The sequence below is a fragment of the Homo sapiens genome, chromosome 12 (assembly GCF_000001405.40).
Source record: "Homo sapiens chromosome 12, GRCh38.p14 Primary Assembly".
In the NCBI taxonomy this organism is placed as follows: domain Eukaryota; kingdom Metazoa; phylum Chordata; class Mammalia; order Primates; family Hominidae; genus Homo; species Homo sapiens.
In genome coordinates, this window is record NC_000012.12 from 126030561 (window position 1) to 126047503 (window position 16943).

The 16943-nt window shown below is 41.7% G+C and overlaps 1 long non-coding RNA gene across 1 annotated transcript in view; it reads left to right on the forward strand.

Moving 5' to 3' along the window:
- LINC02826 (long intergenic non-protein coding RNA 2826) overlaps positions 1–12920 on the forward strand; it is a 59958-nt gene extending 47038 nt beyond the window's left edge. The window contains exons 6-10 of the long non-coding RNA NR_183612.1: positions 5–261; positions 1914–1992; positions 2532–2735; positions 11879–12023; positions 12695–12920. This is a non-coding gene — a long non-coding RNA (long intergenic non-protein coding RNA 2826). The remainder of the gene's footprint in view (positions 1–4; positions 262–1913; positions 1993–2531; positions 2736–11878; positions 12024–12694) is intronic.
- The last annotated feature ends 4023 nt before the right edge of the window (positions 12921–16943 follow it).

A 16943-nucleotide genomic window follows, 5' to 3' on the forward strand; every position in this document is an offset into this window, starting at 1 on the left:
ACAGGTTGTGTTTGCTCCAGGTTATCGGCATTGTGCCTGCACTGAATAAAAACAAGCAGCTCCAACTTCTCAGGGCTGCTCTCTGGCCACTAGAGCCAGGCAGTCACCTAGCTGCTGTTATGCTGCATACCTGTCTCTGAGTACTCGCTTCATCCATCGGCCAGGGTCTGTGGGACAGACCAGGCAGGTGGTGCCCCATGTGAGGAACGCTGCAATGGATTGCAAGGGAACCCCTGAAAACAAATGTGAAGTGACTGAGCAGTAAGTAATTGGTGCGCGCTGGGGATTTCCAAGTTCGAGGGGATTTTCAAGCTAGGGTTTCTTCATGGGACAACAATTATCAGCTCAACAGCAACAGTATATAAAGTATTGAAACAGCTGCTTAAAGCTAGCAGAGCCTCGGTCTCAGAGGCCCAATTAAGGGACCTAATGCAAACTGTTGTTTTCCACAACGCGTGGTTCCCAGAAAAAGTCACGTTAGACCTAGAGCTCTGGGAACAGTGGGAAAAAGTCTTAAACAACATCGTGCGCAAGGGCAACGGGTCCCAGTAACATCTTTAATGTTATGGGCCTTAGTTAGGGCTGCTTTGGCCCCACTCTACACAGAAGAGCCTAAAAAGGGAGGGGAGGAAGAACCATCATCTACCTTATCACCTCCTCCTCCTCCCTCAGCCCCTCCATTACCAGGTAAAGGTGCCACAGAGGAGAGAAAGGTTTTCCCTGAGTCCTCCTCCTCCAATAAATTAGAAAAAAGGCAAGGGATACACTACAGTTATGGGACCCTGTCTTAGGCAAGTGGCATTAGAAGGGGAACTCTTGTCCTGCCTGGTGATGCAAGGTCAACAAGGCAATTAGTTACATGAACCCGTTACTTTCAAGACTTATAAAGAGATAAGAAAAAGCATTAGAGAAAACGGAGCTGCTAGCCCATTTATGAAAGGATTAATTGAGGCCATAGCAGATAATCTCCATATAACCCCATGGGACTGGTCAGTGCTAGCTAAAACAACTTTAGAGGCCAGTCAGTATCTCCTCTGGAGGGCAGAATATGATGAGTTGTGTGAACAACAAGCCAACCAAAATCAATTGGCCAGGCAAAACGTAACGGCTGCTATGCTGTAGGGGAGGGGTCCCTATGTCAATGTACAACAATTAAATTTTGTCCCCCAAGCCTGTGCACAAGTGTCCTTATGTGACTGCAGGGCTTGGGACCAAATTTCCGAAGGTGGAGTTCAACAGGGATCTTTTGTAAATGTTTGACAAGGGCCTCAGGAGCCATTTGTTGAATTTATCAATCAGTTAACCCAGGCAATTAAGAGACAAATTAGTCATGCCCAGGCCGCTGATATCTTATTGTTGCAATTGGCTTATGAAAATGCTAATATAGACTGTTACAGGCAATGCAGGCAATCAGAGGAAAAGCGGCTATCTGGTGGGAACCGCATAACTCTCTCACTCGATCTGGATTTACTAGCACTCAGAGAGCTGAGGTTGGAGCCCTAATATTGGCCCTGGAAACCTTTTCCGTTCAGCCCATCAATATCGTTAGTGACTCTGCTTATTCTGTTTATTTAGTGCAAAACCTTGAAACAGCTCTCATTAAATCCACTCTTGAGCCCACCCTGTGTGCCCTTTTTCTCTGACTTCAGCAATTGTTGGATCAATGAACACATCCTGTTTTTATCACACACATTCAGGCCCACAGCTCGCTGCCTGGTCCGCTGGCTCATGGCAATGATCAAGCAGATTTGCAGGTCATGAGGTCACTACTTGACCAAGCCACACAATCACATCTATTTTTTCATCAGAATTGGAGAACTTTAGCTAAACAATTTCAACTTACCCAAAGACTAAACAAATTATTTTACATTGCCCAGATTGCCAGCTCACAGGCACATCCCCTCCTTCAACAGGTGTTAACCTTAGAAGACTAGAACCTAATGAGTTATGGCAAACAGATGTTATGCACGTCCCTGAATTTGGAAAACTAAGGTATGTACATGTATCTGTTGATACCTATTCCCACTTAATTAGTGCTCATGCTCTTCCTAGAGAGTCAGCCCGATATGTCATTAAACATCTTCTCTTAACCTTTTACATTTATGGCATGGCCCACAAAGATTAAAACTGATAACAGTCTGGCTTACACTAGCTCACAATTTCAAAATTTTGTCACACATGGAATGTCCAACATTCCACGGGTAGCCCGTATAACCCTCAAGGACAGGCCATAGTAGAATGTGCCCACTCCACCCTTAAAAATAAGCTCAGAAAACAAAAAAGGCAGAATATGAGTAAGGACCCTGCAACACTATTGGCACAAGCCTTATTTACCCTTAATTTCTTCAATTTAGATGATAAATTTCAATTAGGTATAGAAAAGCGCTTTGCAAAAATCACTCAAGATATAAAACCTTCAGTTTTATGGAAGGATGTAAATAGTAATATATGGTGTGGTCCAAATGATTTGCTAATGTGGGAAAGAGGATATGCTTGTGTTCACACCCCGTCAGGTCCTCTTTGGATTCCAGCACGAGGCATCAAACCATACCATGGCATGGCTAGGACCCAACCCGGTACCAAAATGAAGAAAATGACCCTACAGGACCCACAATCCCGGATGATGTGGCTTCCTTGGATGACACAGGCCCTGGACATTACCTGGGGGATGCTGAAGAAGACAACTCAGGAGGCCAAGCAAATCCTGCTCCAGGCACAGACACCATTCACTCCAGGTAATGTGTTCCTCGCTATGCTGTTGTACATTGCAACTCTCGTAGGGTATTAAGCTTTTTTATTCTCTCACTTTGCCTGCTACCTGTAACTGCTACACTCTATTGGGCCCATCTTCTAGATCTGCCTTTTTTCCCACTCTGTTACTTGGGCAGACACTCCCTTCCCAGGCTCTAATAACGTGACTGATTGGCTAGGAGGGATTGACATACCCCCCAGTGGGGTCCCTCAGTAATGGCACACATTGGACTGAGGTGCTAAGTAACACTACATATCACACCTTGATTGGAAAAGAATAATACTGATTATACTCATGTTTGTCTTATGTTATTTACTGGTTCTGGGATGTAAAGCCAGAACACAAGCTGTAACTGCTGTGCCAGTCAAAACTGTTGCTGTGCACATCTGTATGCTTCAATCAACAAAACCTAGTGCAAAAAAACCCCCAAAAAACAAAAAAAAACCAGAAAAGAGGGAGATGTGGGGGATCACTCAGAGTGGTGGGAAAACTATATGGAAAGGACGCAAATCTTCTGAAAGGTCAGAAGTTTCTGCAGAGCCCCCAGGGGAGAATAGCTGAAGGCAGCTGTTCTATAACCCTGAGGCAAAGGGCAAGGAGTAGCTACAAGGGAATGTGGGGGAATTTATCTCAAACAAGCTTGTTTAGTTATGTTGACCAGGAACTGACCTTTGATCATCCATGCGCATGACTCTTCCTGAAAGGGGAAACAATAAATGTTAATTACCTACAGGTTGTGTGGGCTCCAGGTTTTCGGCATTGTGCCTGCACTGAATAAAAGCAAGCAGCTCCAGCTTCTTGGGGCTGCTCTCTGGTCACTAGAGCCAGGCAGTCACCCAGCTGCTCTTACGCTACATACTTGTGTCTGAGTACTCATTTCATCTGTTGGCCAGGATTTGCGGGACAGACCTAGCAAATTTGAGTCCATTTAAGAGTGAAAAGTAACACTGGTAGCAATCATTTGAAAATGTGTCAGAATACCAGTGACACATATACACCAAAAATCCATGTAAGATACCAACAAGTAAGTCAGGTCATTCACAAGATAGTGAAGTTTCAGAATCAAGTCACTAAATTCACAAATAGTAGGTTAATTATCACATTTATCAATCTTTTATGATGATCTAAGAGTAAGCGAACTGATTTGTGAAAGTCACTCATTTGGTAAGACCTGGGGCCAAAACGTGAACAACGATTATTCTTATAGCAGATTTAATGGTTTTTCTGCTATATTAGATGAAAGATATCTCCTGTCTGTCTCTACACCATGTTGAATGAGGAATGCCACCTGCCACTGTCTCTCAATCACAGTGAATAAGAGACACCATCTGCCTCTCTCTTTCCATCCTTTTGAATGTGGAGGGACACCTTCCTGCTTCAGGCCTGTTGGGCGTTTCTTAGGGCATGGTACTCCTTCAATTTCTCCTTACATGGGATCCGTCCAAGCTCTCAGATGTGACAGTGTTTTTCACTCCATACTCCACTGAATTCATTACTATTATCAACTTGAACAATGTGCCTAACATATCCTCCATTTTTCTTGAGAAACCAAGAAATTGGCCGGGTGCAGTGGCTAACGCCTGTAATCCCAGCACTTTGGGAGGCCAAGGCGGGTGGATCACCTGAGGTCAGGAGTTCAAGACCAGCCTGGCCAACACGGTAAAACCCCGTCTGTACTAAAATACAAAAATTAGCTGGGTTTGATGGTGTATGCCTGTAATCCCAACTACTTGGGAGGCTGAGGTAGGAGGATTGCTTGAACCTGGGAGGCGGAGGTTGCAGTGAGCAGAGTTCATGCCACTGCAATCCAGCCTGGGCGATAGAGCAAGACTCTGTCTCAGAAAAAAAAAAAAAAGAAACCAAGAAATTCTATCAGGCATTTTCTCAATGGAACCCCTGAGAATAATTAAGAACTGTCAAATAAAAGGGTGATTTTTGAAATTCTATTTGCAAATATTTAATATACTTCTGTTGTCAAATAATGGAGTCTTTATCTCGTTTTTAATACCTGGGCTTAGGAAGCCCACCCACAGTGAGCACAGGCCTTTTAGGTCACTCTGATAATTAAACCTGAACCAGGGGCTGTATGCTTGGAAGATGACAGGTAATAATAATAATAATAATGATAGCAACAACACAACAATAACTTTTAGTGAGTGATATCTAGCAACAGGCAGTGAGCTAAGTCTTTTACATCATGGTCTAATTGATTGTTAGGATCCAAGGTCGCCTGGTAGGAAGGGAAGCCAGGACCTGAATGACATGTGTATGCCCCTGACCCTGATACTGCACAGGAAGACAAAGCCTTGTATCAGCAAGTACCAGGGCATTTTGCAAATGTGGGGATAACATTTGCTGAGATGTGAGCTGGATTTTGTTTTTCACTAACTTAGAAAATATTTCGTGCGAAACTGAAAACTACAATTCCCTTTCTCCTGCCTCCTTTATATTAATCTTGGCTATTAATTTTAACTAAAAACAGAAGTTAATAGCTCCAGTTGGCAGTTTAATAAGGAGCCTTGGTAGGGTGGGAGGTGGGGAAAGGGCCTGTAGTTTCCAAAGGCCACCCCAGGCTTCATAATTCAGTAGGAGGACTCACAGGACTCGGCATATAGTGTTATGCTGATAAGTTACCTTAACAACATAAAATCGAGTTGTTCTCTCAGGCTGTTTACTAAGAAGTGCAAATAAATTCTCTAAATATTAAAAAATGTTTATTTTAGTTGTGCCAAGATCTGCTGGTTTATAATTACGGCTAAGTTTTACTACCACAAAAAGATATGAAGGACAGTCAGCCAACGTAAAAGGTGGATGGTGTGAAGTCTGGGGGAGACGAGCCTCAACCTCTCCCCATGGAGTCACACAGGACACAATTCCCCAGCGAATACAAGTGACAATGTGTGTGAAATCTGCCAGGTATAACAGAGAAGTCCATTAGAGACTCAATGCCCAGGATTTTTACTAGGGGCTGATTCCATAGGCACCCTCTTCCTGGGAGGTACTAAAATTCCAGAAGGAAAGCAGGTGTATGGCAGGGATTGTATTATTTGTACAAAATGTCTGGGCATAGTAAGCCACCTTTACCAGGTGCCAGCCAGGGTCTTCTGACAAATGCAGTCCTAGGCCTGCCAGGTTAAATCCTTAAGAAAGGAGAAAATACAGGGCTGGACTTTATACTGTCTTAGAGAGAGAATGACAATGTTGGTGAATATTTACATACCATAAAACTTAGGTCACAGCTATACCTGTTCTGTATCTTATCAACATAAAATTGAGTTGCTCTCTCCAGCTATTTACTAAGAAGGGCAAATAAATTCTCTGAATATTAAAAGTGTTTATTTTAGTAGTGCCAAGATCTGCTGGTCTGTAACATTGTGATTATGTGCAAGTGTCTGTGACAGAAAAGTATCTTAAGAGGATTCTGCAGAATAATGTGTTTGATATAAGCTAAATGGTTGACAGTTATCCTACTGTGTATCTTGCTGACTTGATCCTGGAATTTCACTGCTGTGTAAATGACCTGACTTTAGCCAGAAGCAGAAGTCTCCTTTGTCCTGGATGTTTCTCTTTTTAGGCCTGCATGTAAATCAGATGCATTTCTAAAAGGCAGTGCCAGCTAGTGCTTTTCACCACTCTCTACAAAAAGAGAGAGAGAGAAAAAAAATGCTCTCCTCCACCGGCAAGTGTCCAGCATACTTTCTGCTCAGGCGGGTCTTGTAGGCACGGGAATGGGAAAAATTAGGTAGAAACTTTCCAGGCCGGGCACGGTGGCTCATGCCTGTAATTCCAGCACTTTGGGAGGCTGAGGAAGGCGGATCAGGAGTTCGAGACCAGCTTGGCATAGTGAAACCCAATCTCTCTTAAAATACAAAAATTAGCCAGGCATGGGGGTGTGCGCCTGTAGTCCCAGCTACTCGGGAGGCTGAGGCAGGAGAATCTCTTGAACACGGGTGGCGGAGGTTGTGGTGAGCCAAGATCTCACCAGTGGACTCCAGCCTGGGCGAACACAGTGAGACAGTCTCAAAACAACAACAACAACAACAACAACAACAACAACAACAACAAAAGAAACTTTCAAATGAGGCCCCTGAGGCACCTAGAGAGATGGGTTCCAAGGAGAAAGCTCTTTGGTGATCTCCTTGCACAATATTGTACTTTGGAAAGAATAAAGTTAAACTTGAGGAATTAATAACAAATGATTTTTTAAACTAGAGAATGTAGCAGAGAAAGACGGGGCTATCTTCCATCCTTGTAAGTTCCTTAGCTGGGCTACAAATTAAACTGATGTAAGACAGACTAACAGGAGAAAAACCATATTGAACTATGCAAGTACACATGGGAGTCCCACAAAACATCAGAGTAGAAGAGACATGTGATTGAAGCTTATACAGGATCCTGAGCTACAGAAAGGAATATGGGCTTGGGGCTCCTAGAGGGAGGTGATGACACAAGTTCTGGGAGGGTGAGAGGAAGAAGTGTACGGTCGTCTTGTTAGGCAGTGTATTCGTGCATTTTCATACTGCTATGAAGAAATGCCCGAGACTGGCTAATTTATAAAGAAAAAGAGGTTTAATGGACTCACAGTTTCACATGGCTGGGGAGGCCTCGCAGTCATGGCGGAAAGTGAAGGAGGAACAAAGGCACATCTTATATGGTGGCAGGCAAGAGAGTGTGTGCAGGGGAACTGCCCTTTATAAAACCATCAGATCTTGTGAGACTTATTCACTATCATGAGAACAGCACAGGAAAAAACCTCCCTCGTGATTCAGTTACCTCCCACCCAGTCCCTCCCATGACATGTGGGGATTACGGGAGCTACAATTCAAGATGAGATTTGGGTGGGGACACAGCCAAACCATACCATGCAGATAAAAAGTCTCTCAGGTAATAAAAGTATCCAGGCTGCTGTCGACCTCCAGTGTTCTCTCCTGTAATCCAAGTTAATCTTCTCTGATTGATAAGATTCCTTCCTAGGCAGGGAATTCAAGACAATTGAGTTCCTTTTGGAGGATCCCTTTTTAAGCAGATAAGACAAGCTCAAAGAAAGCCTCTGCCTGCACCTTCTGTTTACCAAATTCCCTTGGTTCAAAGTAATTAGTCATACCAAAGTGTCATATTTTGGGTGGCATTTTCTGCACTCCTTCCAGGGAAATTGAATATGTTACAGTTCCCTCACTCTGCTTAAGTGTACACCACAAACATTGTAAGATGCCACAGGTAAACCATTTTTCTCCACAAGGGCTTTTATGCATCATAAACAATTTTTGTACAGCTCTCACGGCCCTCTTCACAAGTGCTTCCTCCCACTGAGTTCAGGGGAGGAACTGGTGCAGGTGAGTGTTTACAAACACTGCACCTGGCCAAATGACTGCAGTGTCAACAAGAAATCCCACAAGAGTTCTTCAAAAGCCATCTTTTTTCACCCAAGCTATTTCTGTAAGGTGGATGTTTTCATTACTTTTTCTCATACAAACCAGAAAGTGAAAAAAGCTGAAACCAAGGTCTGTGTAGATTACATTGTGAAGTGTTTCTGTGTTCATCATCATCCTGACCTCCTTTCCTCATTTCTTTGGAAACAAGTAATTTTTTCAGCAACATTGGCTAATAATATGTACAGAAGCATTTTAAAGTGCCTGGTATATGTGTGGCTTTATTCTGTTGTCACAGTTAAATTCACTGGGTGAAGCTTGGTGCAAAATTCATTTTAATGAAATGCTTTGCAAGTCACAACTGAAGAGATGTGATCAGCATTGCTGTTCAACAAATGTTTATGAATTTCCTAAACAATAATTACATTTATATAAAAAAGCTGAATAAAAAGGAATAAATATAATTAGTATTTGGAAGGGCAAGAACTTCTGAATAAAAATGTTCATCTTTTATTAATCACATATATTTTGCATAAGGAGATTATTTTTCCCAGTTTGGACTAACAACACAGAATTATCGTATACAATTGTGAGAACAGTTGGCCTGTGACAATTTAATGGTATTTTGCAAAAGCCTTATTTTGTAAGCTGCTCATATTGGCCTACGTCCCCCACTTGTTTTCTTAATCACAAATCATTTTTGAGAAACACTGACAAAGGATGGCAGTTCATATGCAGCTAAACGTTACTAGCTCCTGTATAATAACCTCACTGTATGCAGTTTCCACTGATATACTGCAAGGGTCAGGAGAACAAAAGACTTACGATAATTGACAGTGGTCACTGGATTTACTGTTAGCATTTTGACCATGGGAATTTATTCATCTCACAGCCAGGTTTGCGTCTGAGTATTAGTTTGCTAGGGATCTTTTAAAAATGCACCACAAACTGGGTGGCTTAAAACAACAGAAATTTATTATCTCAAAGTTCTGGAGGCTGGAAGTCCAAGATCGTGGTGTTGACAGGGTTAGTTCTTTCTCGAGAGAGAATCTTGTAGCTTCTGGTTGTTCACTGGCAATCTTTGAAATACCTTGTCTTGTAGAGAAGCACAGCCCCAATCTCTGCCCTTCATCTTTACACAGCGTTCTCTCTCTCTTTCTGTGTGTGTGTGTGTGTGTGTGTGTGTGTGTCCAACATTCCCTGACCCCCTCTTTTTTCTGAGACAGAGTCTTGCTCTGTTGCCCAGTCTTGAGTGCAGTGGCAGGATCACAGCTTACTGCAGGCTTGACCTCCCAGGCTCAAACAATCTTCCCACCTCAGCCTCCTGAGTAGCTGGGACTACAGGCATGCACCACCATGCCTGGCTAATTTTTTTATTTTCATTTTTCTAGAGAAGGGGTCTCACTATATTGTCCAGGCTGGTCTCAGGACCACTACATTGCTGGTCCTGGGCTCAGGCAATCCTGCCTTGGCCTCCCAAAGTGCTGGGATTACAGGTGTGAGCCCCTGCACCTGGTCTCCCTTCTTACAAGGACACCAGTCATATTAGATTAGGGTCCACCCTAAAGACCTCATCTTAACTAATTACCTCAGCAATGAAACTATTTCCAAACATGGTCACTTTCTGAGTTACTCGAATTTAAGACTTAAAGATATGAATTTTCGGGGAACACAATTCAGTCCCTAAGAGCTGGTCACCTATGAAAGTCTTTTGTACTCAGACGCCAGCAGACTTGAAGCACAGAACTGCATGCTTTGAGCACAGAGCTTTTTGGTAGTGCTTGGGTATACACACCGGAAATGACTTCACAGGCAAACCTGCAGCACACCCAGGATGACAGACAGACGTTGCTTCAAGGAAACCAGGGGAAAGAAACTGCTTCAGCCAAAAGTGACTTACACAGCAGAAAGGTGGCCTCTTTTCCAACAACCCAGCAACAATCTCAAAGCTGGGATCTGTGTGTCCATCCTGAACCCATCACTGTGGTCCTAGAGGACCTAGTGCTCTGACTGATTGGGGTCCTATGCCTGGTTCTCCTGACCAAGACCAGAAAACCCCAGAGGAGCAGAGAGAGGAATCCTCAAAGATAAACCTCAATGCTGTTCTTACAAAAGGAAAAGAGGATGAGAAATAGCATTCCAAGCAGGCCAAAGAATATCAATGTCTAAACTCTTCAGACCTAAAGAGGCTTGGAGAAAAGGAAATTTTATTGGAGGAAAGTTTCATTCAAATTGTTAAAAGAAAGGTGCAGCTGCATTTCTCTGATAGCCAGTGATGGTGAGCATTTTTTCATGTGTTTTTTGGCTGCATAAATGTCTTCTTTTGAGAAGTGTCTGTTCATGTCCTTTGCCCAATTTTTGATGGGGTGGGTTGTTTTTTTCTTGTAAATTTATTTGAGTTCATTGTAGATTCTGGATATTAGCCCTTTGTCAGATGAGTAGGTTGCAAAAATTTTCTCCCATTTTGTAGGTTGCCTGTTCACTCTGATGGTAGTTTCTTTTGCGTGCCGAAGCTCTTTAGTTTAATTAGATCCCATTTGTCAGTTTTGGCTTTTGTTGCCATTGCTTTTGGTGTTTTAGACATGAAGTCTTTGCCCATGCCTATGTCCTGAATGGTAATGCCTAGGTTTTCTTCTGGGGTTTTTATGGTTTTAGGGTGATTCCTCAGGGATCTAGAGCTAGAAATACCATTTGACCCAGCCATCCCATTACTGGGTATATACCCAACGTACTATAAATCATGCTGCTATAAAGACACATGCACACGTATGTTTATTGCGGCACTATTCACAATAGCAAAGACTTGGAACCAACCCAAATGTCCAACAGTGATAGACTGGATTAAGAAAATGTGGCAGATATACACCATGGAATACTATGCAGCCATAAAAAATGGTGAGTTCATGTCCTTTGTAGGGACATGGATGAAATTGGAAATCATCATTCTCAGTAAACTATCGCAAGAACAAAAAACCAAACACCGCATATTCTCACTCATAGGTGGGAATTGAACAATGAGAACACATGGACACAGGAAGGGGAACATCACACTCTGGGGACTGTTGTGGGGTGGGGGGAGGGGGAGGGATAGCATCGGGAGATATACCTAATGCTAGATGACGAGTTAGTGGGTGCAGCGCACCAGCATGGCACATGTATACATATGTAACTAACCTGCACATTGTGCACATGTACCCTAAAACTTAAAGTATAATAATAATAATAATAATTAAAAAAAAGAAATGTGCATCTGCAATCATGAGCATCTTTAGAGACAAACCAGTTCAACCATTGGCCATGCAATTGAAACTCTAGATGTATTAGTGTTTAAATGCAACTCTTTTTTTTGAGGGGGGAAAGAAGTTGCCATCAGAACCTGGAATTCATTCTGACATAAGTAGTTGCTTTTCACCCCCATCTTCAGATTGACTTCCACTCCAACTAAGTTTGAATGATGTATGCCTCATAAAATAATCACAAGTGCCACTTTTTAACTGTTAATGAAAATTGGGAGTGGAAGTTAAAATGAATATGTGGGTGAAAAGTGATATCAAACATGAGCTTGCTATCCAATGATAAAGAGCAGGAATTAAAATCTGTCAACATCCCTAAGAACTTAGCACTTCAGCTTCATTCAGCAATACACGAAGAACTCACAGGTGCCAATGACAGCTAATACCAACCAGTTCAACAATTTACCATGCAGTGGAAACTCTAGATGTATCAGTGTTTTAATGCAAATCTCTTTTTTTTTAAGGAAGCTGCCATTCATTCGACATAAGTAGGTGCTTCATCTGATAAGCGCTGCTTGTGTAATTTATCAATGACAGAGAAGGCAGATAGCAGCATGCATACTTGGGGCTGCATTTGAAGGAGAGCAACATCCCTTTGTTTTCACAGAGGTATGACTGTGTTTGTAGATCTCTACCTTAGACGAAAGTTATGATAGGCTGTATAGTGGCGGGAAAGTGGTGTGAGACTACAAAAGTGTCCCTGACACTGTCATAGCTTGTAAACTAGTTCCTTTACTAGGTTGCCAGTAAATCAAAGTCACCATGAGGAAAGTCATACATGTGCATGATTTGAATGTTGACGTATCAAACTTTCCTGGAGGGCTTACTTAGACTCTCCTGCCAACAAAGGTTGCTTAAGATTTTTACAGTTAAGAAGAGAATGGAAGACTGAAAGGAAAATGCAACCCTGAAATGTTTAAGTATTCAGAGAATGGATGCTCCTCAAGTGCAATAGAAATGAAAGAAATGGTAACATCTTCCCACATCTTCCATGAAATCTTGACTTGTTTTGGTGAAGAGAAATGTCTTACTTTAGGGATGAGAAGACTAAAAATATGATTTCATTTATATGATGTCTAAAGACATGCAAAGTTAATCTAAGATGGTAGAATTTAAAAAGTGGTTGCATTTGAGGAGTTGGCTATTTCTGGAAAAGGGAAGGAACAGCTTCCTGGATGATAGAAATGTTGTATGTACTGACTTGTGTAATGTTTATGCTGGTGGATATGCAGGCTGAAGGGGCAGTTGTCACCCAGGATTAACTCTTCTATTAATTACAGGAGAACAAGCATGAGTTGAGATTGTGGTGCTTCTTGAAGTCTCATCCAGATCAGAAACCTGCTGCTCTGTCCACATTCCATCCACCAAAGCAACCCATATGGCCATGTCCAGCATCAGATGGGGAAAGGCAGTTCTCCTCTAGCACGAGGAGCTGCAAAGCCACATGGCAAAGGATGAGTGTGTAAAAAATAAATGCAGGAGGGCAGGAGGCATTGGGAACAATGATCCAATCTACTGCAGTGTGTTATTCTCTCCAGCTTGGCATGCGTTCCGTTCCCTGTGTACAGCATCCTGCAGTGACAGGAGCTCACGCTGGTCCTTTAATATGGGCCAGATACTGTGCTAAGCACAGCACATGGTTTATCTTGGTGTAGCCTCACAGCAACATTGGAGCAAAGCACAGTGTATAGCACCATTTATTCATGAGAAGTTAGAGCTTCATAGCATTTAAAGCAAATTCCCAGATTGCACAGTGTTAGTCAGTGAAAAAGCTGAAAATTGGACCCGACTATCTTCTGACTCCAGAGTCATACATGTCTTTCTCTCCTAAAGTATCCTTACCTAGGGTAATGTACATCCTAGAGTCTTGTGCACCTGTCTTCTTGCCCATTTTGACAAGCATTTTATACAGATACCTTCTGTACCAAACCTTGTTCCAGGTGACAGGGGCAATAGTAAATATGGGATATAAGATCCCTGCACACAAGTAGCTCATCTTCCAATACAGAAAGTGTATAGACAATACACAAACACATAAAATAAAATAATTTTAACAAATGATGTAATATTCCAAACATGAAATCAGGATGATGGAATAGAAGAGAGCATCTCCAAGATATTTAGAATAAGTGGAGGATATTTGACTCTAGTTAGATAGGAAGTCAGGCAGGATCTCCATGAGGAGATGGTATTTGATTTGAAACCTCAGCATTGAGACAGACACAGCTGTACAAAAATATAGATGAATATTGATCCAGGCAAAACAAAATGCAAAGCAAGAGTCATATTTGAGAACCAAAGATCAGTCGGGTATGGTTGGGGCATATTGAACAGAGCGAGGGAGGGACAGGATGAAGTCAAGAAGGAAGGCAGAGACCAGGTCATGTAGAGCCTTGGAGCCCACGGTGTAGGGCTGCACAATGTTCTTGTCTTTCCCTAGAATGTTTGCATTTAATCTCCAAACCCATGGAAAGCTCCTGAGAGATGATACCTTGGCATCTACACTTTGGATATTTCATACACCTTGGCTTTGCATACAGGTAGATGCAATAAATGCTGCTGACTCTCTCACTCCTATAGAGACACCACTATGTTCACTTGTAGTCAGAAAGCCCCGGTTCACACCTGTCTCCCTTCGTTTCCATTTGCTTGAACTTGAGTCCGGAAACCACTTAACTTCTCATGGCCTCAACCACTTTACCTCTAAAATGGGAATTAAAATCCCTGCTTATCTTGGGTATATGACATGCAATTCTATATATAAAAGCTGTACATTTTGAAGTAATATACAGGTATAAATGGCTGTGATTGCATATGGAGAAATGTAATATCTTATGAATTCAAAATGACTCTGGACAATGGATTTGGCTGCTTATTTCCCCCATACAGACTACAGGCATCATTGCTGGGATGACAGGTATCTCACTGTGAGGATTGTTAACTATCAGGGCTACAATCCGAGTCGTAGAGGGCTGTGAGTGAGGGACACTCTGTGTGTTAGCTTCCTGCTGGTGCAATAAAAAAATACCACAACTTTTAGTGGCTTAAAACATATGCTGGGCCTTATACATCACACACATTATCTGACTTAGAGGCACAGAAAGACAATTTGTCCAATGCTCCATGACTAATAAGATATCCCATGTTCACCCACAGCCAACATAATACTGAATGGGGAAAAGTTGAAAGCATTCCCTCTGAGAAGGGAACAAGACAAGGATGCCCACTCTCACCACTCCTCTTCAATATAGTACTGGAAGTCCTAGCCAGAGCAATCAGACAAGAGAAAGAAATAAAGCACATCCAAATTGGTAAACAGGAAGTCAAACTGTCACTGTTTGCTAACGATATGATCGTTTACTTTGAAAATCCTAAGGACTCCTCCAGAAAGCTCCTAGAACTTAAAAAATAATTCAGCAAAGTTTTTGGATACAAGAATAATGTACACAAATCAGTAGCTTTTCTATATACGAACAGCGACCAAGTGGAGTATCAAATCAAGAACTCAACCCCTTTTACAATAGCTGAAAAAAAAAAAACTACTTAGGAATATATCTAACCAAGAAGTCAAAGGACCTGTACAAGGAAAACTATAAAACACTGATGAAAGAAATCATAGATGACACAAACAAATGGAAGCACATCCCATGCTCATGGATGGGTAGAATCAATATTGTGAAAATGACCATACTGCCGAAAGCAATCTATCTACAAATTCAACACAATCCACATCAAAATACCATGATCATTCTTCAGAGAGTTAGAAAAAAAACAATTCTAAAATTCATATGGAACCAAAAAATAGCCCGTATAGCCAAAGCAAGACTAAGCAAAAAGAACAAATCTGAAGGCATCACACTACCTGATTTCAAACTACACTATAAGGCCATAGTCACCAAAACAGCACGGTAAAGGTATAAATATAGGCACATAGACCAATGGGACAGAATAGAGAACCTAGAAATAAACCCAAATACTTACAGCCAACTGATTTTCAACAAAGCAAACAAAATCATAAAGTGGGGAAAGGACACCCTTTTTAACATATGGTGATGGGATAATTAGCTAGCTACATGTAAGAGAATGAAACTGGATCCTCATCTCTCACCTTACACAAAAATCAACTCAAGATGTATTAAGACCTGAAACTATGAAAATTCTAGAAGATAACATTGGAAAAACCCTTCTAGGCATTGGCTTGGGCAAGTATTTCATGACGAAGAACACAAAAGCAAATGCAATAAAAACAAAGATAAATAGCTGGGACCTAATTAAACTAAAGAGCTTTTGCACAGCAAAAGGAATAGTCAGCAGAGTAAACAGACCACCCACAGAGTGGGAGGAAACCTTCACCATCTATACATCTGACAAGGGACTGATATCCAGAATCTACAACAAACTCAAACACATCAGTAAGAAAAAAACAAACAATCCCATCAAAAAGTGGGCTAAGGACATGAATAGACAATTCTTGAAAGAAGATATACAAATGGCCAGCAAATATATGAAAAAAATGCTCAACATCACTAATGATCAGGGAAACGCAAATCAAAACCACAATGTGATACCACATACTCCTGCAAGAGTAGTCATAATCAAAAAATCAAAAAACGGTTGATGTTGATGTGGATGCAGTGAACAGGGAACACTTCTACACTGCTGCTGGGAATGTAAACTAGTACAGCCACTATGGAAAACAGTGTGGAAATTCTTTAAAGAACTAAAGGCAGAACTACCATTTGATCCAGCAATCCCCCTACTGGGTATACACCCAGAGGAAAAGAAGTCATTATTCAAAAAAGATACTTGCACATGCATGTTTGTAGCAGCACAATTCATAATTCCAAAATCATGGAACCAACCCAAATGCCCATTAATCAATGAATGGATAAAGAAACTGTGGTATATACATGCGATGAAATATTATGCAGCCATAAAAAGGAATGAATTAACAGCATTTGCAGTGACCTGGATGAGACTGAAGACTATTATTCTAAGTGAAGTAACTTGGAAATGGAAAACCAAACATCGTATGTTCTCATTGATATGTGGGAGCTAAGCTATGAGGACACAAAGGCATAAGAATGATGCACTGGACTTTGGGGACTTAGGGGGAAGAATGGGAGGGAGTGAGGGATAAAAGACTACAGATATGATGCAATGTATACTGCTCGGGTGATGGATGCACCAAAATCTCACAAATCACCACTAAAGAACTTACTCATGTAACCAAATACCACCTGTACCCCAATAACTTATGGAAAAAAAAAGATGTCCCATGTTCAAACCCAAATCATTAAGAGGGTCTTGGGGTAAGATAACATGGGGAGGAGGAGAGAAATGTGTCCTAGAAATTTCATGTTATCGTTTTTTGTTGTTGTTGTTTTGGTTTGGTTTTAGTTGTTTTTTGTTTGTTTGTTTGTTTGTTTGTTTTCTGAGACAAGGTCTTACTTTGTTACCCAGCTTGGAGTGCAGGGGTGTGAGCATAGCTCACTGCAGCCTCAAACTCCCAGGCTCAAGCAATCCTCC